At 35.6% G+C, this 27,273-nt stretch overlaps 1 protein-coding gene across 13 annotated transcripts in view; it reads left to right on the top strand.

The window, feature by feature from the left end:
* The window catches only part of WDR7 (WD repeat domain 7), a 385,248-nt gene that overhangs the window by 55,590 nt on the left and 302,385 nt on the right, over nucleotides 1-27,273 (top strand). For all 13 annotated transcript variants that reach the window (XR_007066131.1, XR_007066132.1, XR_007066133.1 and 10 more), the window contains 2 exons: nucleotides 11,016-11,211; nucleotides 24,435-24,649. Coding sequence is in view for 9 of the 13 variants with exons in the window: in NM_015285.3 (NP_056100.2) it covers nucleotides 11,016-11,211; nucleotides 24,435-24,649 (411 nt within the window). In the remaining 4 variants the exon portion in view is untranslated. The remainder of the gene's footprint in view (nucleotides 1-11,015; nucleotides 11,212-24,434; nucleotides 24,650-27,273) is intronic.

Here is a 27,273-nt window from a genome sequence, read left to right on the forward strand (position 1 = left end):
GGATTACAGACATGAGCCACTGTGCCCCGCCAAATTTTTATTTTTTTTTTTGAGAGAGAGTCTCACTCTGCCACCCAGGCTGGAGTGCAGTGGTGTGATCTCAGTTCACTGCAACCTCCATCTCCTGGTTCAAGCGATTCTCTTGCCTCAGCCTCCCCAGTAGCTGGGATTACAGGCGCGCACCACCACACCCAGCTAATTTTTTTATGTTTTTAGTAGAGATGAGGTTTTACCATGTTGGCCAGGATGGTCTCAAACTCCTGACATCAAATGATCCACCTGCCTTGGCCTCCCAAAATGTTGGGATTACAGGCATGAGCTACCATGCCCAGCCTCAACTGACTTTACTGTAGATATACTTTGTTCCTCTGTTAGGTACTTTTCATTTGCTTGTTTCCCAACTATGGCCAGGTGGTTTTAAAACCCGTACAAATTAGGGATGACTTCTCTTCCTCTGACAGTCTAACTTTGCGTTTTGTTTTTTTTTTTTTTTGGCATGAGATAGAAGTTTCAAGATAATTAAGAACCAACAACTGGATAACAGGTTTTTACTCTCCTCTAATTCCTTGGAAATTATAGTCCTAAGTACCATTCTTTCCTGCTCATTGCCTGAAAATTGGGGTTTTCAACTGTCTGAGAAGCCCAAACTGGGTCATGTTTTTCTGGACATTTGTGGGTAGATTACAGTGGGGTATTACACATGCAAAGCGTTTGTCAACATGACCCCAGATGATCAAGGGGGAGGTTTGACCCCATTTATTGCTCTTCTTAGGACATAAATTATGGGCTAGGCACAGCATTCTTGCCAGCCCATAGTGTTTTGTGGACACTGAAGGTTAGGTTTCTCTGCGTTTTTTTGATACAGGCTTAAAGAGCAAGCCAGCATCCTTTCAAAACAAAGAGGTGCTTTTAGCATATTGTGTTCTGTTAATTTACTGCCAGGAAAGAGATATACAGGTTTGTTCTGCATCTCCAGTTAGAAAAATGAGGACAGTATCTGTCAACCCGTTTGTTTCCATAAGAAAGGAAAGAGAAAGTTTTCTGTGGCTGTATCAGAGGTGTGTGAATTCAGTGTTTATTCCTTTTTTTTTTTTTTTTTTTCTGAGACAGAGTCTTGCTCTGTCATCCAGGCTGGAATACAGTGGCGCTATCTCTTCTCACTGCAACCTCCGCCTCCCAGGTTCAAGCGATTCTTGTGCCTCAGCCTCCTGAGTAGCTGGGATTACAAGGGCTCGCCAACACACTCAGTAAATTTTTGTATTTTTAGTAGAGATGGGGATTCACCATGTTGGCCAGGCTGGTCTCAAACTCCTGACCTCTAGTGATCTGCCCACATCGGCCTCCCAAAGTGCTGGGATTATGGGTATGAGCCATCATGCCTGGCCCAGTGTTTATTTCTTGTAATGATATAGGTATGATTTGCAGAAACAGGTAAGGCCAAGCAGACAGATTAAAAATCGCTTGGTCAGATGTGTGGTTGCCATTTAAGTTCTAAGTTGAGGAGTGAGAAAGTAGAAGGGCAGGACCAACAGAAAGCTTTTGGGAGTTGTAATACCAGGCAGTCTTTTTTCAGAAGGTCTAACTCCCTGAATGTGTGCAGCCCAAGGTTTGTGGGCATGGACAGATGACAGCGGACAGCTGAATGGTGTGTGGAGAGTGGAAAGGGGCAACACTTTGAGTTCCTTAACAAACTTTAGAATATAAGGTCAGGCGCGGTGGCTGACGCCTGTGATCCCAGCACTTTGGGAGGCCAAGACAGGTGGATCACCTGAGGTCAGGAGTTTGAGACCAGACTGGCCAGCATGGTGAAACCCCGTGTTTACTAAAAATACAAAAAAATTATCCAGGCATGGTGGCATGTGCCTGTAATCCCAGCTACTTGAGAGACTGAGGTAGGAGAATCACTTGAACCTGGGAGGCAGAGGTTGCAGTGAGCCGAGATCGTGCCACTGTACTCCAGCCTGTGCAACAGAACGAGACTCTGTCTCAAACAACAACAACAACAGCAACAACAACAAAACTTTATAATTTTAGAGCTTGCAGATTTAACCATCTCAGTCTCTAAAACCCATAAATATATAAGTGAAATTAAAGAAAGCATTTTAATATTTTAAAGGCATGAAGTGAAAAATAAAGTAAGTTCAGTAGAAAAACATAAGAAATATTCAGAGAACAGTGGAAGCTGGCCATTGAGGAGTTGTATTTTATTTATTTATAAATTGTTATAAAGCTTTATTAATGTAATTTATGGTAGCATGTGAGTGATACTGATGATTATGCAGATGAAACTATTCAGATTAAATTAAAGCAGAGGTATTAATATGAGAAGAAAGTATTGAAAAAGGGAAACTTATGTTCTTGAAGAATTATGAATGTTTTCACATTTTCTGGTAGATACCTAAACTTCAGCAACACTTAACCCCTTCAGAAAATAAATACAATTACATTCTAAAAGATAGAATCTATGGTATATAATTACATAATAATAATAATGATGGAGATAATATTATCATCTTTTGTATTCATGACATGTTAGTCACTGCATGAATTTATATTTCGTGTTATTCACACAGCAATTCTGTTAGGTATGTTACTGCTGTTAACCACATCACATAGAGAAAAGAGACTCAGAGAGGTTAAATGACTCATCCAAGTCAGACAGTTAGCAAATGGCAGAGCTCGAATTTGATCCTGAGTAGTCTGACTTCACAGGCTGAACTGATAAATGCTGCCCTCTAGCAGATTTAGTAGTCTATTTCAAAGTAAGTAGTTTTCTCCAATTTTTGTCATTTTTCATTATTGATTTGCATAATTTATCTTTTAGTTTTTCATCTTTGATTATTCAAGTTTGGAGTTTTTCAGTTTTAGTCCCCTTTTATTTTCTTTTACTTGTAATATGTTACTTGCTCTTTAAAAATGTGGTATAGTTTTCATTCCACCTTGATTAATGTATACCCACTGTTAACATTTTTGAAAGTAGAGATAACTAAGAAGGTAAAAGGTCACCTGTTATTCTTCTACAATTAAGAGAACCACAATTTATATATATATATAGTTGTTTTTTTTTTTTTTTGTGATGGAGTCTCGCTCTGTCACCCAGGCTGGAGTGCAGTGGCGCAATCTCGTCTCACTGCAAGGTCCACCTCTTGGGTTCATGCCATTCTCCTGCCTCAGCCTCCCGAGTAGCTGGGACTATAGGCGCCTGCCAGCATGCCTGGCTAATTTTTTGTATTTTTAGTAGACACGGGGTTTCACCGTGTTAGCCAGGATGGTCTTGATTTCCTGACCTTGTGATCCGCCTGCCTCAGCCTCCCAAAGTGCTGGGATTACAGGCGTGAGCCACCGTGCCTGGCCAATTAATATATTTTGATACACGTTCTTCTAGGCTTTTAAAATCCATTTTATTATATCCATGTGATTATACTGTAGATACAGTTTCCTGTGCATATTGCATCTTCATTTAATATTATGACAAATATTTTCCGACTTATTTTGCTTATTCATGAAAGTAATTTTCCATTACATTGTGTGAGCATACCATATTTACTTAGCAATTCTACCTTGGGTATTTAATTGTTCCCAGTATCTTCTACTGTAAATAATACAATATTGAATGTGTTTGTATGTAAATATTTTCTTTCATTTAGGATTATTTTCTTTGGATATAGTCTACTCAATGAAAGTATCAGAACCTCAGAAATTTGATATAATAGCTTATTAACATTTTTAAGGCTGCTGAATTATATTATGAAATTATTTTCTACTCTCAGCGCCCACTTCATTGCCGCTTGCCAGCACAAATGTTAGTTACTTATATGCTTCAGTTTCTACATCTTTAAAAATGGAAATAATAGTACCTACCTCGAAGGGTTGTTATGAGACTGTAATGAATTACTGCCAAGCAGTTGGAACATGCCTAGCAAAAAGTATCAACCCCCAAAATGTTAACTATTTGGCATTGTAATTTTTAGAATCTTTGTCCAAGTTGACAGGTAAAAATAGTATTTTAATGTTTGAATTTGCTTTTCTTTGATACCTAGAAATATTCAAATTTTTCTAAAAGGATTTTAGTTTTTTTTTTTAAAAGACATTTTTCTTTTTGTCCTTTGCTTTTTTTTTTCCTCTCCAAGGGTTATTAGTGTTTGAGCTCTTAACTAAAATATTAAGCTTATGTGGCTTCTGTTGTTGCTGGAATTTCTAATTTATTATTTACTGTTGAATTTTTTAACCTACACGTATTTTCAGTTTTTATGTAATCAAATTTATTTTTTTATTTGTAGTTTCTTCCACATTTTTTGAAGCTTGAAATCTTATCCCACCCAGAAATGTGATAAGACTTGATAAGAAACAATGGCTAAATTAAAAACAAACATAAAATAATATATCTGAAATGTATTTATGATTGTGGGGTGATGTAAGGATAAAAAATATCTGCTCCTCTCTAAGCTATCACAATGTTATTTATTAAATACATGTTTTTTCTTTGATAGTATTTTCTTAATCTTGTATTAAATCCTTCATATTTCTTTACCATTTTATTAATAAGGAAGCAGTTGAAGAATTATAGAGTTCTAATTAGCCCACTATTTCTTCAGTGTTTTTTTTTATACAGTGAATAAAGGAAGACATTAAAACTAGTCCTTAAAAGTTTTCTTGTTCACGTAATTATCCAATTAGTTTGTTAATCGGTGTTTTGGCTGGACCATATGGCCTTTTTTTCTAAAACATGTATTAAATAAACAGTCCTCTACTTTTTTTTTTAAATGAAGTTTGGATTTTTAAAGCTTTTTTTAAAGGTCTAGTTTTGTGAAAGTGTAGAAGTGAAATTAACATTTAATTTCATAGGCTGTTTTTTCCCCTTCAGGTAGAATATTTAACGTGATAAATGATGCATCTTAACTGCACATTTATGTTCCATAGCAAGAGTTCTGGGAAGTACAAGAGATAATGATTAAGAGAATAGTGGGATTGATTTATGAGCAAAAGAAACTGGTCATTTACAGCATGTCTAATGATGGGCATGTTTAAAAGGAAAGACAATAGAATGTTCATGTGTTTAGCGACTATTCAGGCCAAGAGAAAAATTGTTTTGGGCACATAAGACCATTGCTTCTGAAATGATATGAAGAAAAAGAGTAATTTAGTTTAGAAAAACAAATTAGCAAAAATAGAAAATAAAAAATATCTATTATTTACACTGGGAGCTGTTGGAAAGTGGAGTCATCTCCCCAGAGAGCTAGTGGATGGGATAAACTAGCTGTCTCTGATTTCTGTAATTCATGGCAGATGCTTAGGAACAGGTTACATAAGAGGTTTCTGGGAATGGTTTAAAATGAAGTCTTGTAAAATGTGTAAGGTCAGACTGGGTGACCTAGGTGGTATATTCTGACTCTGTCAGATTCTGTGATAGCTTGTGGCATTCTGCTGTTCAGCACTACTGAGGATTATTTACTGGCAAATCCAATGAGCCTTTATTTGGCTTAGGATGATAATTATTTGAAAAATAATAATTGACCTAAGAATATACTTGTTTTGGGCCAGTATTTTCTCCCCTCTCCTTGCTTTTTCATAAAATAAAAATAGAGTTTTTACTTGGTTAAATATTCTGTTGATTGTTGTTAGCCTTTACTTTTAATTGGCATTTGATGTCATTGGTGCATATTGCATGTAGGGCAGAATGAATACAGTGTTTGGAACATGAATTTGAATAGCTTTCACCTGTAAAATACTATCTAAGTTGATAGAATACTTCATCTGTGCTGCATAAGTTCTGTTCCATAACAATACAAATTTTTAAGGGGAATTTTATGTTTACATTCTTTAAGTCAGTTGATAGCAGCGGTTACTGAAGTAGAATAGATGAGACAGTCAATGGAGGTATAGGAAGAAAATCTTAGAACTTTTACTTACTTATTTTTTAATCTTAGGAAATTGAGCTTTATGAACATTTACTAGAAGGAGGGGCATTGGTGGCCTCACCTGTTTTGCATACCAGAGGGACACGCATCATCTCAGGCAAGAGTGGGTGAGCCTCAAGTGGGGTGCCAGAGTTACTTTCATCCTGTTTGTTTCCACTTAAAATGTGCTTGCTTAAGGGATTTGCAGATTATATTATATAGTTCTAAACCTAGCCATCACAAAATGGGCAGGGAAAATATGGATGGGAGATATTTCTAATGAAAAATCTCTTCATCGGCTATATTACAAGTTTTAATGATCATTTGATCAGTCTGGCAGGAGGGCAGCAAAAAATTTATAATTATATGAAATTTGTATTTACATCCACTGTCATTAATAAGGAAACCTTCCTAAGGATCTATTTTGTGACATGAGATATTGGCTAATGTAATGTGAAGTTACTCACATTAATGAGACATTTGAGAAATGTTTATTCTTAAATCTGTTTATTTAAACCTTGAGTCATCCTTTTGAAATATATGTATTTGTGCATCTATTACAATTTAGGTGATACATTGCACAGAATTACACATATACAATTTATAAATATACAACTATTGGGAACACATTTCAAAATTATTTAATGCATGTGTAATAGGAATAATTTGAGGCATAAATATTTTTCAAATAAGTTTAAAGATAAGAGGTTCACATTTTTTAGTTGTTGTATTATTATTTTACTTATACAGTTTAAGTGTTTTATACATTATCTTGTTATAATGCCATTGGTGTTAAATCATGTTTAGGTGACTTTTCGAGGTTGAAATGGAAAAAGATGAAGTAGAATGGAATTAATCAAATTATAGAATGAGTCATTGCAGGTGAAATAGGTGTTCAGTAACCCAGATCTCTAGAATTTAATAATAAAGGAATTGTGCTAATTTAACTCATTTGTGAAGAAGCTGGGTGTAAATCAGGAAGAAATATGAGTTATAAAGTATTCTTTAAGAAGTGCTTTAATAATTTTGAGGACAGATAAGAGGAAACCAAGTTGTGTTTTATCAGAACTTTTAAGTGCTTTTATTTAACAGAAAGCTGAGAATTATTTATTATTACTCTGTTCATTGTTTAAAATTAATATGAAATGTTGCTTGAATAGTCTTTTTTCCTTTTACACTTAAATAAGCTAGACATTTGCTTTGTTTATACCATTAATTTGTTTTCACACAGGCTGCAAAGGTAGCCATCACCTCAGAATTAATTAGTGAAATCAAAATTAATGAGGTTTTACTATATTGGGTCATTTCCACTTCAGGCCAGTTTTCTTTATATGAGTTGGACTAGCATTTTTTTGAAAGAAGAAAAATTAGATTTATTTTAATCCATATTTAAAAAGCACAGAACCATCTTTTCTTGTGAGTTAAGTACCTCTAATAACTATGCTTTCTTGGGCTTAGTAATATTGATTTTTTTTTGTTTTCATTCTTGATTATTTTGGCTACTTCCAGTCTTTCTTATTACAGTAAAGCTAAAGTTAACTCTTTAGATACTTATTATCATTTACAGAGATGGTATATCATGTTTACTTTGGACGAAACTTTTTTTTTTTTTTTTTTGAGATGGAGTCTCACTCCGTCATCCAGGCTAGAGTGCAATGGTGCGATCTCGGTTCAGTGCAACTTCTGCCTCCCAGGTTCAGGCGATTCTCCTCCCTCAGCCTCCCCATCGGCTACTGTTTTGTATTTTTAGTAGAGATGGGCTCTCACCATGTTAGCCAGGCTGGTCTTGAACTTTTGACCTCAGGTGATCCATCCCCCTCGACCTCCCAAAGTGCTGGTATTATAGGTGTGAGCCACTGTGCCCGGCCTGGACCAAACAGTTTTTTGTAGATTGAGCTTGTTATTTGCAAATTTTCATTATTACACTATGTGAAAGGGGAATAAAAGTATTCTTTAAAACATATTTAGTTAAATATATGTGTCAGAGGAGAATGTGTCATGTAGAAATGAAAAGCTAGAATCTTGGTGTTAAAGCTCTTTTTTTTAACCTTCAGAAAATTACATCTCATAATCTACTTTTTAAAGCAGATCCTATGCTCTTATTTAATATTCATTTTGTATGTCCTTTATTTTTACTACATGAGAGTAATAATGTAGAGTTTTTAAGTCTTATGAAGATAGATTACGTTTTCTTAAATCTTTGAAATTATCTGCCTGTGTATCTGTGGGGAGGGTGAAAGTTCTGACAGGGAAACTTCTCATGAGGGGTTGATAATGCGGAAGGTCAAGTTTCTCATAAGAATGAGAAAACCTTTTTTCTTTGCTTAATGGCTCTAGTCCTCTCTCTGCTAAATTACAAACTATGGTAAGGAGATCTTTGACAGAGAGAGAGAGTATGCGTAGCTCAGTGGTTGTCAGCAGCTTTGTGTCACCTCAGATGTTGAGATCTCCAGTAGGGCAGAATTTTAGGAACGCCTAACATAGTAGAGAATATTGGCAAAACTTCATATTGACTCATACTTCATTTTCTCTACTTTTTGGAAAGGAATGACTAGAGTATATGTGAGCATGAATGAAATGACTTTCGACGTGGGGACTAGCAAATAGGTCAGTTAGATGTGTGGCACTAATTAGGGATTAGCTCTTTATAAAGAAGATTTTGGAGAGTTTGGGAGTCTAAGTAGCAGAATCAAAAGTAGGGTCAGTGGCCAGGCGCGGTGGTTCATGCCTGTAGTCCTAGCACTTTGGGAGGCTGAGGCAGGCGGATTGCTTGAGCCCAGGAGTTCAAGACTAGCCTGGGCAACATAGAGGCTCTATTAAATATTATAGATATAAAACAGTAGTGTTGGGTGTGTGAATACTGTGACTGATCAGTGCCTGATGGGAGGACATGAACAGATTAAAAGGAATACTGTTTAGGCATCATTCTTTAAGTTAATTATACCCGTAGAAAAAGATAACTGTTTCTTTGATGAGGGCAATAAATAAAATGACCACTTTTTGGCAGATCGATGTTGCAAAATAGAATATTGTATTTAACCATTAATGTAGCAACCAACCCTTTTTATAAAATGAATAATGGATATATTTGACAAAGTCAGTACTGATGATAAGCTGTAGAAATGCAAAGCATCCATTGTATTGAACTCTCTGTTGCTTTGAATTAGCAACGTACATACGTAGCAGTGTGTGTGTGTGTGTGTGTGTGTGTGTGTGTGTGTATTTACCCAGTTTTGTTCTAACATACCCAAATTTAACTATTTTTGTAGTTTGCCATTTTGTTTTGATTTGTTAATTATAAAACTAATTTGTGTGTGTCAGAATCAACTACCCCTCAGTATTTAATGTCTTTTGCTAAGACATTAAGAATCACATTTCATGTTTCAACTGAATGTTTATCAGGAAAATAAGTAAGCTTAAAACATGCTTAAGAAAATTCTATTAACGTTTTAATGAAGGTTTGTAATACTATTTCTCCGAACTTAGTTTTTTTTTAACTTGTAACATGAGTAAACACCTGTTATGCTGATTATAGTGTGTAATTATAATACACAAAGTACAAATGAAGCTAACAAAGAATAAAAATAAAACAGTTGAATTTAAGAATAAATAGTTAAATATTACTGTTATTTTTGTTTTATTACTATGCAGCTTCATTCAAACATTGATTTTAGGTTGTTTACAAAAGTAAACATTATGCTAGTAAGATAAAAATAAAGCTAAATCATGGTGAAGAGAATGTAAGGGGAGAAAGCAAATGAGACCATTGATAGACCATATTCAGATACTTATGCCCAAGATCCAGCACTGTTATAGACAGAAAATTCAGTTCTGAGTTTCCAAAGTGTGTTCATCTAAAACTAGGTCTTAATAAGATTACTGTGGTCAAACAACTTTGGAGATGAATGGTGTTGTATCCCCTTAAAGAGATAATTACAGTCACAGCATTCTAAAGGTTCTTGGAAGTTCTGTGGTTAAAAACAACAGCTACTACCCAACCTCAGTATTGTCAGTATTTCCCATGCACATTTGACCACACTTTCCTCCCTTTTTTTCACCTAATACCTATCAACGTGTCCCATTTGGGAAAGATATTGAGATATTGATCTTTAGTTTAAAAACAACCTGTTTGCTTAGGAGAACCCCCAGCAGGGTGAGGTTTGACGTGTTTTTTCTTTAGATCCCATACAAGGGAAAGAGTATATTTATAGTGCAGTGGGCCTCCCCCTCAATAAATAGCCACAATATGTACAAGAATGAGTTTCTGATGGCTGTTTTTATGTGGTTTCCCTCAGTATGACCTGAAAGCATAAACCAGTAAGTCACTGAAAAGTTAAGTTTTCAATTGTTTATAAATTGTTTTATAGAAATCTAGACTTTAATTTTTAATTTTTTAGGTCATGGGTTCAGTTCTCTCTTACCAGAGAAAATCTTTGATTATTTATATCTTGTCTTGTTCTAAAAAGGAGTTGAAGGGCAAAAACTAGAGGTGAGCAGAAAATACACAGCAGAACATTTAATTGGCTATTGTGTGGCTACTTGAGGTGATGCATCTGCTGACATTATAGATAGAAACCATGAAGGAAATAGGAATGCATATCTACAGATAATGTGAATATCTATGACTCCTAAGAAATGATCGTGGCAGAGGGACGGTGAGGGTATTGTTTTTGATCAAAGGTGCAGGGAAGAGCATGGGTCTAAATGAAAGAGTCACAGACAGAAAGAAGCACTGCAGAAAGCAGCTCCCACAGCAAACAAAGGAAAGTTCACACTGTGGAAAGAGCACACCTAATAACAGATCAATTTTTTCTCAGCTTTGCCTGCTCCAATATAGCAATCATTGTAGTGAGGTCATCTTTAAATTTGAACAGCAGTTTTTCCAGTGTACCTTTTGCAATCTTTAATCTAGAATTAATTTAGTATAAAAATATTTTGATGATTGATCTGGGTTTTATGTATAATATAAAGGAACATACTTTTCAACATGACCTAATATTGTGGTGGTTTTTCAGTGGCAGCAAATGTATAATTAATTTTGCCTTAAGTTATTGAAAACAGGATCCATTTTATTCTAAATTTAATTTAAACACAATTAAGGTTTATTCTTCTTTTCAGGCAAGAGTACAGCACTGCATCTGCTCTGTAGCCAGTGACCACTCAGTAGGACTTCTAAGTTTGCGAGAGAAAAAATGCATAATGTTGGCATCTCGTCACCTTTTTCCTATTCAAGTAATCAAATGGAGGCCTTCTGATGATTACCTGGTGGTGGGGTGTTCAGATGGTTCTGTGTACGTCTGGCAAATGGATACTGGTAAGAACAAGTATGAAGAGATACTATAGAAAATTAAATGGGTGTATTTCATTTTCTAGAAATGAAAATGTCTTTTATATGAAGAAAAAAGGCTTGAAATGTAAAATAGTTGCTACTTTTATTTCTAATTGTTTAAGTGGCCTCTTTTTTGTTCTGCTATGCCAAATGTTTGTAGAATATTTCACGAATCTTTAAAAGCATGTAATTGAGGATAATATACAGATGAGGACAGACATATGGACAACAAAGTATATATGTTTTCTATATAATTCACAAGTAAACTGTGGACAAGAAGAAGAAATCATTTTTATCTCAGGTTTACATACGGTGAAAAAGATACAACCCTTTTTTCTTTGAACAGCAGAAAAGCAATGCTGGGCAGTTACTTGTATGAGGTAATTAAAATGAAGTTTTCAAGTTCTAGAGAGAACATTTAAAATTTCGAGTTTCAGAAAGTTTATGTATTGGGGGTATAATGTAGAAATAGTAATGCTTAGCTTAAAAGCACAGACAATGATATGTAATGTTTATACACAGACTGCTGTGGTTTTCCCTCAGAAATTTGTAAGTATATAACTAAATGTTTATTGGTTTAGGCCTTTTTGAAACTCGTTGCTTTTTTACTTTCACAATTTTCACTAATCATCTATCAGTTATTAAAGTCTTTCTTTTAATTCCTAGTTGTACTAATATTTCTACTAGATTTTTTCCTTTTCTTCGTCTTTGTTTTAAATAGCATTTTTTGAAATCAGACTATATACATATTTGTGCATGCACTATTGTGCGAACGGGAGTTCTCTTAAGCCTTTTGGGAATAAATAGCCATAAGCTTCGGTAATCTTTTATTTATTGTCTTCATTTTAACTGGTAGTACATAGGCAATCTTGACAAGAGGAAGCATTCTTGAAGTCTGTCAAACTTCCTTGCTTTTGCATGTAACCTTTCTTTCTCTTGTCTCTCATTGTAAAAGAGATTCATACTTTTTGGTCAAGTTTTAAAAGCACAAAAGTATTAGAAAAGAAGAAAGATGAGCCCACATCTCATTGCTCATTGGTAAATGTTAACATTTTTGGCACATGTCTTTCTAATCTCTTTCTGGGCATTTTAAAAAACAGAATTGCTGGCCGGGCGCGGTGGCTCACGCCTGTAATCCTAGCACTTTGGGAGGCCGAGACGGGCGGATCACGAGGTCAGGAGATCAAGACCATCTTGGCTAACACTTGAAACCCCGTTTCTACTAAAAATACAAAAAATTAGCCGGGCATGTTGGCGGGCGCCTGTAGTCCCAGCTACTTGGGAGGCTGAGGCAGGAGAATGGCGTGAACCCGGGAGGCGGAGCTTGCAGTGAGCCAAGATCGCGCCACTGCACTCCAGCCTGGGAGACACAGCGAGACTCTGTCTCAAAAAAAAAAAAAAAAAACAGAATTGCTGTCATACTACATATGCAATTTTATATCTTTCTTTTGTGTGTCTTTATGTTATGTCCTATCTGCTGAATAGCAGTCTTGTGTTTTCTTTTTTGGTCCACTTCATAAACTGAATATATGGAATTTGTCTTTAGTTCTAGAGTCAGACTGTTTAGTTTGAACTAGCTAGGATGGACTCCTAGCTAACACTGTGATCTATTCCAAGTCACTGGATATTTGTCCCTCAATTTCCTCATCTGTAAAATTAGGGTAATAATATTTTCTATCTTAAAGCATTTCTGAGAGAATAAAATGAGATAATATTTCCCTGGCATGTGGTAAACAGAATGTAAGTGTGTTTATATGTATGTGTATGTGTGTGCAATTGTAAGCTTGTGTGTGTGTGTATACATGCATGTGTATCTATTTCCTACTACTGTTATTAAAGAAGCATGCTGCTTAACTTGTTACTTTGTTGAACTTGGGAATATGACTTTATCTACATTTAGAAATAATTTTTTGGGAATTAGTATTAAAGAAAGTTCTTATAGCAATAATGGCATTTGCAAGACACTGTATTAAAATACTATCAATATTAAGACTGGGTGCAGTGGCTCACACCTGTAGTCCTAGCACTTTGGGAGATGGAGGGGAGTGGATCGCTTGAGCCAAGGAGTTTGAGACCAGCCTGGGAGACATGGCCAAACTCTGTCTCTACAAAAAAAAATACAAAAATTAGCTGGGTGTGGGGGCACATGCCTGTGTCCCATCCACTCAGGTGGCTGAGGTGAGAGAATCACTTGAGACCAGGAGGTCGAGGCTACAGTGAGCTGTGATTGCACCACTGCACCCCAGCCTGGGAGACAGAGAGAGACTCTGTCTTAAAAATAAACAAACAAAAAAAACCCTATAACTATTAAATTAATAGCTGATGTATATTAAGTGAAAATGTATAGTAAACTTGTCTGGGACTTGTTCAAATTAAGTATGATGAAGAGACTATCATTTTTCTGAACTTTTCTGATGCTTAGATAATACTTGAATATTTCAGATACTATAAATATATTTGTGAAGAATATAAAATGAAATTATTTACAAATGAGGCCTTACTGATAGACAAAGTTACTGTTCTAGTGAGTTTTCTAGAAGGAAATGACAAATAGGCCCTAACTGTAGGGGTACTGGAAGAGGTTATTGTTATAATCAGTTTAGTGTAATTAAGCCCAATTTAGATAAAATACAGCATGTAATATTGAAATTACATGCTGAAGATTTGGGTAAACAATCAGTCAATATGACATTCAAGATAAATGCTATAGAGAAGCTGGATTTATTTTGGATTTCAACCATAATGGGAGGCATACATTGTTTTTTTCCTCCTTGCTGTTCATGCTGTAGCTAGTGATACAAAGTTCCCTGGGGAGTCAGTAAGGTACATCCTGGAGGTATTGACATTATTTATTTATTAAATTTATTTATTTATTAAATAAATAAAAAATGAAGCTAGAAAAAATCAGATTCAGCCAGGGTTTGATGTATGAAATGTATTTAAACTCTGAGGAGATACTTGATCTCTCTTGTTAGTGTTTCAGGAATGTATTTTTCCAAATGCAGCCATACCACATTAACCCTGTTTTGCATATTGGGCAATTTTCTAGTTATTGTTTTGAGTTATACTGATGTTTCTAGTGTAAAACACTTGAAGTGTCTTTCCTTTATACGTTTATGCAGCATGTTTAAACATTTTTTTCCTTCAAATGAGTACTTTGTGTTTTCAGTTTATAGTTCCCTGTGAAATCCAGTCAAAGCTAGTAATACAAAATGTAGAGAGCTGGAGTTCTAGAATCTTTTGTTCTTTTATTGTGACATTTTCTTATATGTAATAGCAATGTAATAGTGATGTAATGGCCATGGAAATTATTCTTTCACATCTCTAAATAGTTAAAAAACTACCCAAACACTAGCAACAAGATTTAGCCAGATGAACCTCTTGCTTCCCTCTTACGAAGTTATTAAAGGTGGGTCACTGACCTAGGTGGTTTCTGTGGAGCTGTTGATGTGCTTCTGGGATCAACCGTCTCGTTCTTCACATTTCATATTCCCAGTAAGTATGCAGTGCCATTCTCACAGGCCTTTGACAAGGTCAGAATCCTGTCTGTTTGGGAAACAGGCATGCTGAAAGTAATGACTGATGTTACAAAATGTTCTTCTTATCTAGCCATTACCAAGCCTAAACCACATTCTCATCTGGCTTCTTTTTATCATTCTTGCTACACAACAAAAGTGATTCCCACATCATATTTCTATTCCTTATGTATAATTATTAGATGTTCTTATACAAATGCAAACACCATTAATGCTTGACAAATATCATCAGAAATTAGTGTATGAGGACTTGTGAATTTATTTGTTCTGTGATGTTTCTTTTTATGTTCTGCACTCCATGTTTTCTGATATTTCTCTTTTTGCATGTACTTCATGAAATATGCATTTGAGTCATCTTTTTGAACTTAAGTACCTAATAAAATCTAGCAGGGAATTATGAATTAATGTATATTTGTATGTCTTTTGAAAAACATATATAAAACATGGCTAACAAAAAGCATGTGTTTCAGGGGCTCAGATTGTCATACAAGTAAAGTCTTAGTGACTGTTATTCTTCCTTAAGACTAATTTTTGAAAACGTTTTTCATGCTTTTATTTTGATACATTTAAATTGATGTTTTTCTCTTGTTACTAAAATTGCTGAAGAGAATCAGGAGGTAGTGTTGAAGTTCAGTCCTTTGTTATTAGTGGAGGGTTTTAGTAGCAAGTGTTTTCTTCACGTATTTGACCCTTTGCCAGTAGTATCTAATACAGTGGAAATTAGATCTTACATTTGTATTTCACTATATATTGCCATTACATCATCAGCTTTTCTGTACATTTTTGCTTTTCATTCTGTTACAAAACATGCTATAGGACAGGGGAAGACACAGAGAATGAATGGGTTAAGAAAAAGAGGTAATTGACTATAACCTTGGTAAAACCAAGTATAATCAGAGAGTTTCTTTTTTCTCTTTTAATGATTGACTTTATGAAATCTTACATATTTACCTACCTCTGTAGTTACCATTTTCATTGCTTCCCTTTTTGAAGGAAGGGGTTGTTAGAGTGGAGATATGACTGTGCTTACTACTCCCTCCTCTCACAACCCCTCCATGCAATTAATCACTAAGTCTTTCCCATTAGGTATCCCTCAACTACTTTTTTATTATTTCCAGTGTACCATTGTAATTTATGGCCATATTTTTCCATACCTAGGCTATCTTTATTGGGTACCCTGCCTACTCTTTCTACCTTCTAATTCATCCTTTACTCTGCCGGGAAATTAATCTTAGGAAAGAAAACACTGACAACACTTGCTTCATATTAATGTCTTAATGAATAAACCATAAACAATATTAGTTCATAAAGCCTTCAAGACAAGGTCTTCCATAGTGTGGTACTTTCCTACCTTCTGTCTTTACCTCTTACTGTTCTTTTACACAGACCAGTTGCTCTAGTCAATAATAATTGGGTCACTCCCAATTCTTCTTGCTAGTGTCATCCATATTGTTTTCGTGATTTTCACTCACTTGGAACATTGCTTTTTTCTTTCCTTTTTTTTTTTGTTTAAAACAAACAAAAGTATCTATGATATTTTAAGGAAATTTGAGTAATAAGAATGCAGTCTTGCATATTTACTTATGTAGTCACCATTTCCATTGCTCTTTATTGCTTTGTGTAGATATAGATTTTGCCTGGAGTCATTTTTCTTTTGTCTAATACTTAATTTTTCTTTTAGTGTAGGTCTGCAGGTGATGAATTCTTTCAGCTTTTGCATGTTTGAAAAAAACTCTATTTTATCTTCATTTTTAAAGGCTATTTTCTCTAGGTATAGAATTCTAGGTCAACAGGTTTTTGTCTTTTGCTGTCTGTACTCCAGCTGTCTTCTGGGTTGCATTATTTTCAGCAAGAAATCTGTCAACCTTATGTTTCCTCTGTATATAACATTTCTTTTCTCTGGCTCCTTTTAAATTTTTTCCTTAATTACTGGTTTTGAGCAATTTGATTGTGGTTTTCTTTCTATTTCTTGTTCTTGGGGTTTGTTATACTTATTGGATCCGTGGCTGTGTAGATTTTATCAAATTTGGAAAACTTTTGGCCATAATTTATTCAAATATATTTTCTCCCCTCCATTTTCTTTTCTTTTCTTTGGAGACTCCAATTATATGTCTTTTAAGCCATTTGAAGTTGTTCTTCAGCTCACTGTGATGGTATTTTCATTTAAAAACTTTTTTTGGTTTCATTTTATATAATTTCTATTGCTATGCCTTCAAGCTTACTGATATTTTCTTCTATAATGTCTAATCTAATTGTTCCCATCTAGTATATTTTTCATCCCAAACACTGTAGTTTACATTTCTCAAAGCTTGATTTTGGTACTTTAATATCTTCTATTTCTCTATGCAAAACCTTTTGAACATCTGGAATATAATTATAATAACTTTTAATGCCGTTGTCTTCAAATTTTAATATGTTTATCAGTTCTGGGCTTGTTTTTCTTGATTTGATTTTTTTTTTTTCACTCAGTATTGATCATTTTTTTGACATGCCTGGTAATTTTTTTTTTTTTTTTTTTGAGACAGAGTTTCACTCTTGTTGCCCAGGCTGGAGTGCAGTGGCCCAATCTCAGTTCACTGCAGTCTCTGCCTCCCAGGTTCAAGTGATTATCCTGCCTCAGGCCTCCCAAGAAGCTGGGATTATAGGCACCACCACGCTCAGTTAATTTTTTGTATTTTTAGTAGAGATGGGGGGTTTCATCATGTTTGCCAGGTTGGTCTCGAGCTCCTGACCTCAGGTGATCCACCTGCCTTGGCCTCCCAAAGTGCAGGGGTTACAGGCATGAGCCACCGCTCCTGGCCATGCCTTTGTAATTTTTTATTAGACACCAGATATCGTGAACTTTATTTTGTTGGGTATTGGATATTTTTGTATTCCTGTAAATTTTTTTGAGCTTTGTTGTGGGACACAGTTAAATTTTTTTTACCTTTTTTTAATTTTATATATATATATAATTATACTTTAAGTTCTAGGGTACATGTGCAAAATGTGCAGGTTTGTTACATATGTATACATGTGCCATGTTGGTGTGCTGCACTCATTAACTTGTCATTTACTTTAGGTATATCTCCTAATGCTATCCCTCCCCCGCTCTCCCACCACCCCACAACAGGCCCTGGTGTGTGATGTTCCCCTTCCTGTGTCCAGGTGTTCTCATTGTTCAGTTCCCACCTATGAGTGAGAACATGCGGTGTTTGGTTTTTTGTCCTTGCGATAGTTTGCTGAGAATGATGGTTTCCAGCTTCATCCATGTCCTTACAAAGGACATGAACTCATTCTTTTTTATGGCTGCATAGTATTCCATGGTGTATATGTGCCACATTTGCTTAATCCAGTCTATCATTGTTGGACATTTGAGTTGGTTCCAAGTCTTTGCTATTGTGAATAGTGCTGCAATAAACATATGTGTGCATGTGTCTTTATAGCCGCATGATTTATAATCCTTTGGGTATATACCCAGTAATGGGATGGCTGGGTCAAATGGTATTTCTAGTTCTAGATCCCTGAGGAATCACCACACTGTCTTCCACAATGGTTGAACTAGTTTACAGTCCCCCAACAGTGTAAAAGTGTTCCTATTTCTCTACATCCTCTCCAGCACCTGTTGTTTCCTGACTTTTTAATGATTGCCATTCTAACTGGTGTGAGATGGTATCTCATTGTGGTTTTGATTTGCATTTCTCTGATGGCCAGTGATGATGAGCATTTTTTCATGTGTCTGTTGGCTGTATAAATGTCTTCTTTTGAGAAGTGTCTGTTCATATACTTTGCCCACTTTTTGATGGGGTTGTTTGTTTTTTTCTTGTAAATTTGTTGGAGTTCATTGTAGATTTTGGATATTAGCCCTTTGTCAGATGAGTAGATTGCAAAAATTTTCTCCCATTCTGTAGGTTGCCTGTTCACTCTTGATGGTAGTTTCTTTTGCTGTGCAGAAGCTCTTTAGTTTAATTAGATCGCATTTGTCAATTTTGGCTTTTGTTGCCATTGCTTTTGGTGTTTTAGACATGAAGTCCTTGCCTATGCCTATGTCCTGAATGGTATTGCCTAGGTTTTCTTCTAGGGTTTTTATGGTTTTAGGTCTAACATTTAAGTCTTTAATCCATCTTGAATTAATTTTTGTATAAGGTATAAGGAAGGGATCCAGTTTCAGCTTTCTACATATGGCTAGCCAGTTTTCCCAGCACCATTTGTTAAATAGGGAATCCTTTCCCCATTTCTTGTTTTTGTGAGGTTTGTCAAAGATCAAATAGTTGTAGATGTGTGGTATTATTTCTGAGGGCTCTGTTCTGTTCCATTGTTCTGTATGTCTGTTTTGATATCAGTACCATGCTGTTTTGGTTACTGTAGCCTTGTAGTATAGTTTGAAGTCAGGTAGCATGATGCCTCCAGCTTTGTTCTTTTGGAGGATTGACTTGGCAATGCAGGCTCTTTTTTGGTTCCATATGAACTTTAAAGTAGTTTTTTCCAATTTTGTGAAGAAAGTCATTGGTAGCTTGATGGGGATGGCATTGAATCTATAAATTACCTTGGGCAGTATGGCCATTTTCACGACATTGATTCTTCCTATCTATGAGCATGGAATGTTCTTCCATTTGTTTGTATCCTCTTTGATTTCATTGAGCAGTGGTTTGTAGTTCTCCTTGAAGAGGTCCTTCATATCCCTTGTAAGTTGGATTCCTAGGTATTTTATTCTCTTTGAAGCAATTGTGAATGGGAGTTCACTCATGATTTGGCTCTCTGTTTGTCTGTTATCAGAATATAAGAATGCCTGTGATTTTTGCACATTGATTTTGTATCCTGAGACTTTGCTGAAGTTGCTTATCAGCTTAAGGAGATTTTGGGCTGAGACAATGGGGTTTTCTAGATATACAATCATGTCATCTGCAAACAGGGACAATTTGACTTCCTCTTTTCCTAATTGAATACCCTTTATTTCTTTCTCCTGCTTGATGGGACACAGTTAAATTACTGAGAAACAGTTTGATCCTTTTGGGTCTTGCCTTGTCAGGTAGGGCTGGAGCAGGGTTAAATGTGGAGCTAATTATTATCCACTGCAAATGGAACACCTTCCTGAGAACTGTACCCAGTGGCTCATGAATTTGAGGTTTCCATTCTGGCTGGTCAGAGTAGGTACTATTCACAATCCTGTCTGAGTCCTGGGTACTGTACCCTGTAATCTTTTCAAGTGGTTCTTTCCTTGGCCTTGGGTACTTTCTTCATAGTCACACAGTAATCAGTACTCTGCCGAGTATGTAAGGAGGACCTTCTGCAGGTTTCTGTGGAGCTTTCTTCACCCTGGTAGTCTATTCTGCAAACTCTAGCTGCCTGTACTCTAAGCTATCTGTCTTCAACTTAAGGAATCTGTTAGGCTATTCAGACAATGGATGTTAGTCAGTGTTCAGACAATGGACATTAGTCAATTAAGGATTGTCTGAAAAAGCATTGTTTCAAATCCTTACATCTATTTTTTTCCCAATTATTTTACGTAAAAGGGTAAATTCAGTTCCTATTACTCCATCTTGGCTGGAAGCAGAAGTCTTTTCTGCTAATTTGAATTTTCAAAATCTTTAAATATTCAGGCAGAGTCCACTCTTTCCCTGATATTTTTAAAAACAGGTTTAGTTGGGAATGGATTTTTTTTTTCTATCTTTTGAACCTCTGTATTAGTCCATTCTCATGCTACTGTGAATAAATACCTGAGAGTGGCTAATTTATAAAGAAAAGAGGTTTAACTGACTCACAGTTCCGCATGGTTGGGGAGGCCTCAGGAAACTTACAATCATGGTGAAAGGCACCTCTTCACAGGGCAGCAGAAGGGAGGAGTGCTGAGCGAAGGGGAAAGCCCCTTGTAAAATCATCAGATCTTGTGAGAACTCACTGACTATTAGGAGAACAGCATAGAGGAAACTGTCTCCATGATTCAATTATCTCCACCTCGTCCCACGCTTGACACATGGGGATTATTACAATTCAAGGTGAGATTTGGGTGGTGACTCAGGGCGAAACCATATCAGCCTCTTTATTATTCTTTTTGGCTTGTGTTGTTGATTGTCTTCTTATGTGCAAATGTTTTGACCCTCACTCTTGGGGTATACATTTCTCTCCCACCCCAGGAAGTTAATTACCATTGATATGTTACAACCATTTAATCTTCAGACTTTATTCCAACTTTTCCAGTTGTTCCACTACAGTCTTTTACTGCAAAAAGATCCAGATTAGAATTATGCATGGTTAGTTCTATCCCCCTTTCAATTTAAAATAATTCCTTAGTTCTTCCTTCACCTTAAAGACTGAAAGTTTTGAATATTTCTGGCCAGTCGTTTTATAAAATGTTTCCCAATTTCCGTTTATCTGATGTCTTCTCATGGTTATTTTCAGAATATGTATCTTTGGCAAGAAAATCACTGACATTTTTCTCATTACATCTTATCAGTTGGCATATGATTTTAATTTGTTTCATCACTAGAGTTTACTTAGGTCACTTAAGGTGTTTTTTGGCTTCTTCACTGCAAAGTTATGTTTTTTCTTTTTGTAATTAGTAAGCATTTTGTGAAAAGATACTTTGAAACCATGTAAATAGCTTTTCTTTATCAAACATTTAAGTTACTCATTTATTTGCAGTTGGATCTCTATTTTATACAACAGATTACATTCCTAAACTCTTATGTGATGTCTTGGATTTGGTCAGTGGGAGTCCCTTCACACTGGATATTTTTTTTCTTTCAGCATTGTCTTGCTTTACAGCTGAAGTAGATGATGCTGCCTCCTCGTGTGGATGTGCTTTTTATCCATCCTGGCTGATACCCTGTGACTGATGTCCTCTCTTCCCAGCATAGTCATCCTTTCTCCCCTTTTGGGATCTAGCACCCTGTGCAAAGCTGCCTACCTGCATAGATGCCCTCTTCTCTCTTTGGGCCCCATCCCATCCCCACTCACCATATGGATGCCCTTTTCATACCTCTTAGACTTCAACCTTCTGTGCCAGGTTGCTTTCATGTGTTGATTTCTTAGACCCACCTTTGGGATCTGTACTGGGCTGCGTCACTGTGTGAACTCCCTCCTCTCTCCACTCAGGTTCCAACAGTGTCTCTTGATGCACATGCTTCTGGGGCTAAACCCTGTGCCAAGCTGCTGCCACCACTTCCCTCTTGTTTAGCTTCCCTCTGCACCCTCTCAGCCTCTGACATATTGCTCTGGGCTGCTGCAGGCCCGCTTTTCACCACCATGCCCCTTATCTGACATGGGCTCCTACCTTTGCTCAGGTGTATTTACTGACTTTGGGCTCGGTTGTTCAGAAGAGAAGAGGAAGTATAAACTTTAGACACCAGAGATCAAATTAGTTACTTGGAGCTTTTGCAGGTAGTATATTCTCACTTATTTGTTGATTAATGATTTTATTTTAGATATCAATAAGGGAAAGTCACTTAAGCCTTTCCATTATAACTACAAACTACATTTAATGGAGAATTAAGAGCTAGAGCAGTAAATTCTAAATTTATTCCTGTGAAACTTTAAGATATCTGAAAGAATATCATATTATTTTCAAAATTGAATTAACTTTAATTTACTTAAAATAATCTTTTCCCACAATATTTAAAAACATAATATGATATACATTTGTAAAAAATTGATATGTTACAAATCTTCATGTACAAGAATATGAAGTTCTATACTAATTCAACCATGTAAATATATCCTGTTAACCAAGTAGTGTACATCTATTGAGAGTATTTTTCTGTGACTGTAATATCCCTTCCCCCACTTTATACTATGAATACTCTTCTCTAACTTGTTATTTTCATTTAACAGTATGTTGTGGCTTTTATTCTATGTTAATATATATAGCAGAGCATGCTTTTAAACATTGTTTTTGTAACTTCACAGTACTCCTTTTAGTGGATACATCATAAATTATTGACACAGTCTACTAATGTTAGATATTTAGGTTTCTGAAAAATTTTTCTATTACGATTAAGACATTTATAACCCAACCACACACATATATGTTTGGATATGGTATCATTATTTAGCATAATCTTAGAATAGGAATTCCTGTGTTAAAGGAAATGTGAGTTTTAAATTTAATAGAATTTGTTAAAAAAATTACTAATTTTTATTTGTACTAAAAGTGTATTACCAGTTTTCTTACATACTTGAGAATGCTGAATATCTGTACGGTAAGATATAAATAGTATTTCATTATTGCTTCAATTTGATTTCTTTGATTATTAGTGAGGTTGACATCTTTTTGTATGATTACTACCTATTTCAATTTCTTTTCTTGATTGTTCATATTCTTTAAACATTATTTTGTTGGCTTATTTTTTTCTCATAGATTTGTTAGAACTCTGTATTTTGAGGCTGCTAACTCTATCTCTATTTAATCAACAAATAGTTACTCTGTGCCTCCAATGTGCTGGGCACTGTTCAGTGTACCAGGGATACAACAGTGAACAAAACATCTGAAACTCTCTAGCTTTTGTGCAGTTTACATTCTGGGTGGAGAGAGGCAGGTCAAAAATAACAAAAACTTTAAACACATAGTATGTTCTCTGGTGTTCGTGTTATGGAGAAAATAAAGCAGAAAAGGGAGAATTTGATAAGATGGCCAGAGAATAACTCATTGAAAATGTAACATTAAGAGCTTGAAAGGTGGGTGAAGGAGGTGGTGAAGCTCACATTGGAGGAAGTTTTTGCTGTGACTTAGACAAGAAATGCATAGATGGAGATAAACAGAAAGGATAGCCAAATAAAGAAGCGTTAAAGTAGTTGTAGGCCGGGCGTGGTGGCTCATGCCTGTAATCCCAGCACTTTGGGAGGCCGAGGCGGGCGGATCACGAGGTCAGGAGATCGAGACCATCCTGGCTAACACGGTGAAACCCTGTCTCTACTAAAAATACAAAAAATTAGCCGGGCGTGATGGCGGGCACCTGTGGTCCCAGCTACTCGGGAGGCTGAGACAGGAGAATGATGTGAACCCAGGAGGCGGAACTTGTAGTGAGCCAAGATCGCGCCATTGCACTCCAGCCTGGGCGACAGAGCGAGATTCTGTCTCAAAAAAATAAAAAATAAAAAATAAATAAATAAATAAGTAAAGTAGTTGTAAGTAGAAGTAGTGGTAATTTCCACAAACATACGAAGAAACATTTGGCTGGATGGTGAGAGTAAGAGTCAAGAATTTGCAGACAAAATGTAGAAATTATAATATTTTTTCTGTTTTGTGGAAGTTTCTTAGAGAAGCTTCAGCAATTATTCAATGAGGAAAAAAACAAATTTTAGTAAGACTTTTTTCGTTTAAGATTGATATACAACTTAGAGGAAGGTCAAATCATAGATTTTAATGTTTGTAATGGTGCGATGGGACAGGAGTAGTCAAGAAAACCATCTGGGAGGTAGAAAGAGTGGAAAAGCCTGGAGAAGGTTGTTGGAATCTTAGCTCTGAACTTGACTTTATTGGGAAGTTGCATCAGGGACTTTGTGGGAGAGGAATTCATTGAGGTGGTAGGTACTACATGGAAGATTGTTAGAGGAAGGAAGTACAAAAAAAAATTTCCAGGAGGCATTGATAAAACATGTTTCTACTTAAAAAATTTTCATACCATTTTTTCTTTACTTAAACTATTCAAAATGTTGTAGTGTTATGAAATATTTGTGAATATATTTTTCTCGCAGGTGCATTGGATCGTTGTGTGATGGGGATAACAGCAGTTGAGATTCTAAACGCTTGTGATGAAGCTGTTCCTGCTGCTGTTGATTCACTTAGTCATCCAGCAGTCAACCTAAAACAAGCTATGACGAGACGTAGTCTTGCTGCTCTTAAAAATATGGCCCATCATAAGCTACAAACCCTTGCAACTAACCTCTTGGCTTCTGAGGCATCTGACAAGGTAAGTTTTATATGTGGGCCCATGAAGTGTGTAGACCCCATTTAACTTCATTTAGTAACATGGCTTTGGCATATCTTAGAAAATAATTTTTGAGAAATGACCCTTGAAAAATAAACTTTTGATTTTCATTTAGGTTTATCCAACATGGTTTGAGTTTTTCAAGTACTTGGCATTTTGGAAAAGTATATTATTCTTACCATTCAAATATTTTTAAATTCTTCCGACTGAATTAAGTGACTTTAGTTTCTGAAATTAGGGCAAACCAACTGTATATAATCTGTCTTACTTTTTGGTAGTCTTTCTGTTGAAAGATTGAGCACTAGCTAATGTCCTAAGGAGGGAAAAAAGTAATTTAGGTACAATTAAGATGTCTGTAATTGTGATGTATCATTTGTTTTAAAATTAGGTTCTGATTTTAGTAAGGTTAAGCGATTGTAAAGATTTAAGAAAATGTTTCAGAATACGTATGATGGTGTTGCAGAAGTACTGAAATTTTTCTGAGACCCAAGCTCAAACACACTTTCCTTACTGACACTTAATAAAGTATAAGTTACTTCTTCAGTTAACAGAAGATGATCCTATTAAAAAAACCAATCCCAATTCATGAATTGGTTACTTATCTTTAGTTTTGTAGAGTCTAGCCACTGTTTGGTCTGTGGTATTTGTGTCATGTGGTATAATTAGCACTAGTTTGTCTCTAGTAATGGATAAATCAAACCTAGAGACAATCTCAATATTTCATCTCAATCACTACTTAAAATTCTAGTTCCATCTAAATATTCATTAGAGTTATTAATGAATAGGCACAAATACTTTTAATTTTAGTCTCTCCTTGATTTTCATTTTTTTAAATGGTTAGACATGTGAATAAATAGTAAAGGGGTTGAAAGGCTCATCTGCAGACTTGAAAATTAACCATGAGTTCGTGCGTGCTGATGATACATGAAATACTGTAGGCAGTTCCACTGACCCACATCCTCCAGTAGTTCGCAGTAATGTCACCCTTTGATCATTATTTCTTCCCTCAAGATATAAATGTTTTATCAGCTATGTTGTATTGTATATTTCAACAACTGGAACTGTGAAATCATTCTACATTTTTCCTCTGTGCTTTCAGTAGCAAACCCTAAAGTTTGTGAAGAAATCACAGCTGAAAGCATTGGCCATACCTTCAGTTACTTCCAAGGAATCTTGTAGCTGTCTCTAGGAATTCAGTGTTCATAGCACATTTTCTGACATGATATGTAATTTGATTTTGAGCAAATTTATAAAACAATATGTTTAAGAGCATGCATGCATGTGGTGTAACTCCCAGATATATTCTTTTTCTTGATGGTATCCCCTAGAAGTAAAAATTTGGAAAAATAATTATATAACTTGAAAATTAAAGAAAAATAAGTGGTACAGTAACAGTTATGAATGGCTTTTGTAAGTGGTCGTGGTCCATTATGTGATTTTTACAATCTTGTTTGTCCCTGTTTTAATAGCGTATTTTATAGCGCAATTAGTGATAAAAGCACCAGATATCAGAGACACTACACTTATGTATTGTAAAATATATTGCTTGTGAACCTCCTTAGTCTTGTAGCAGTGGTAATTGTTGCCTGGCCTACAAGGAAAACAATTATAGAAGGGAGGAAAAAGGCTTAGGAAGCTGAAGCTGCAGGAGGATAATCACTTTATAAAAAATGTATGTTGGCTGGACCATTAGGGATTTCTCTAACTATTTTCTCATGTTGAGTTTGAGGTTCCTTCTGAAGAGAATATTTAAAGAGCTGTCCTCTGGATAGCTTTCTAACCTCAGGAGAAATAAACCCACCCAAAGTAAAAAACAAACAACTAAGAGCTTCTCAATGGTACAGGACTTACTCTAGGATATTGGATCTAATTTTTTACATGAGTCTTTCAATGGAAAGCAAAGCCTGTATTGGGATACTCTATAGAAAGTGCTGCTTTTTGTCTTGGTAACATAGTGTTAGCAATCAGGGCTATATGGAAGTAACAGATATTTTATTTTGCTAATTATGTTAATTATACTGGACATTGAAAACTTCACAAAGATGGAGAATTTACTATCCTGTGATTTTTTTCTCACAGTAGAAGATCAAGAGGGTATTAAGTAAAATACTTTATTACTGTGAAGGAGTCTTTTGTAAGATTGTGTATATTTGAAACCCTTTGCATTTCTCTTATGACATGTATTTTTTTCTTTATATTATGATAACTTATATATTTATCTAATTCTCCCTACTGAAATTCAGTCTTTTTGAGAGCAGGGATTTTTGACTTATTTATCTCTGTGCTTTTCCATGACATCTAGCAGCAGCTGCTGTGCAATAACTATGTGTTGAATTGGATGATGTGGAACAGAAAGTGCAGAGAGCCTTTTCTTTCGCTGTTTTGCCCTTGTCTTTGCCATTCCCTCATAACTGATTGTCTTAAGACCCCTGCATTGCAGCCTCAAGGCTGTGTTCATGAACCTTTAGATGTGGAGCATTCATTAGTAACTTGCATTCTTCCTTTGCAAAAGGAAGTTTTGCTCAGTTTTGCATTCTTCCTTTGGTTTTGGTGAGTGAAGTTGTGTAGATATAACTCATTCTCCTTCCTTGCCTTCTCTGTATTAT

Source organism: Homo sapiens, chromosome 18, assembly GCF_000001405.40.
Source record: "Homo sapiens chromosome 18, GRCh38.p14 Primary Assembly".
NCBI lineage: Eukaryota > Metazoa > Chordata > Mammalia > Primates > Hominidae > Homo > Homo sapiens.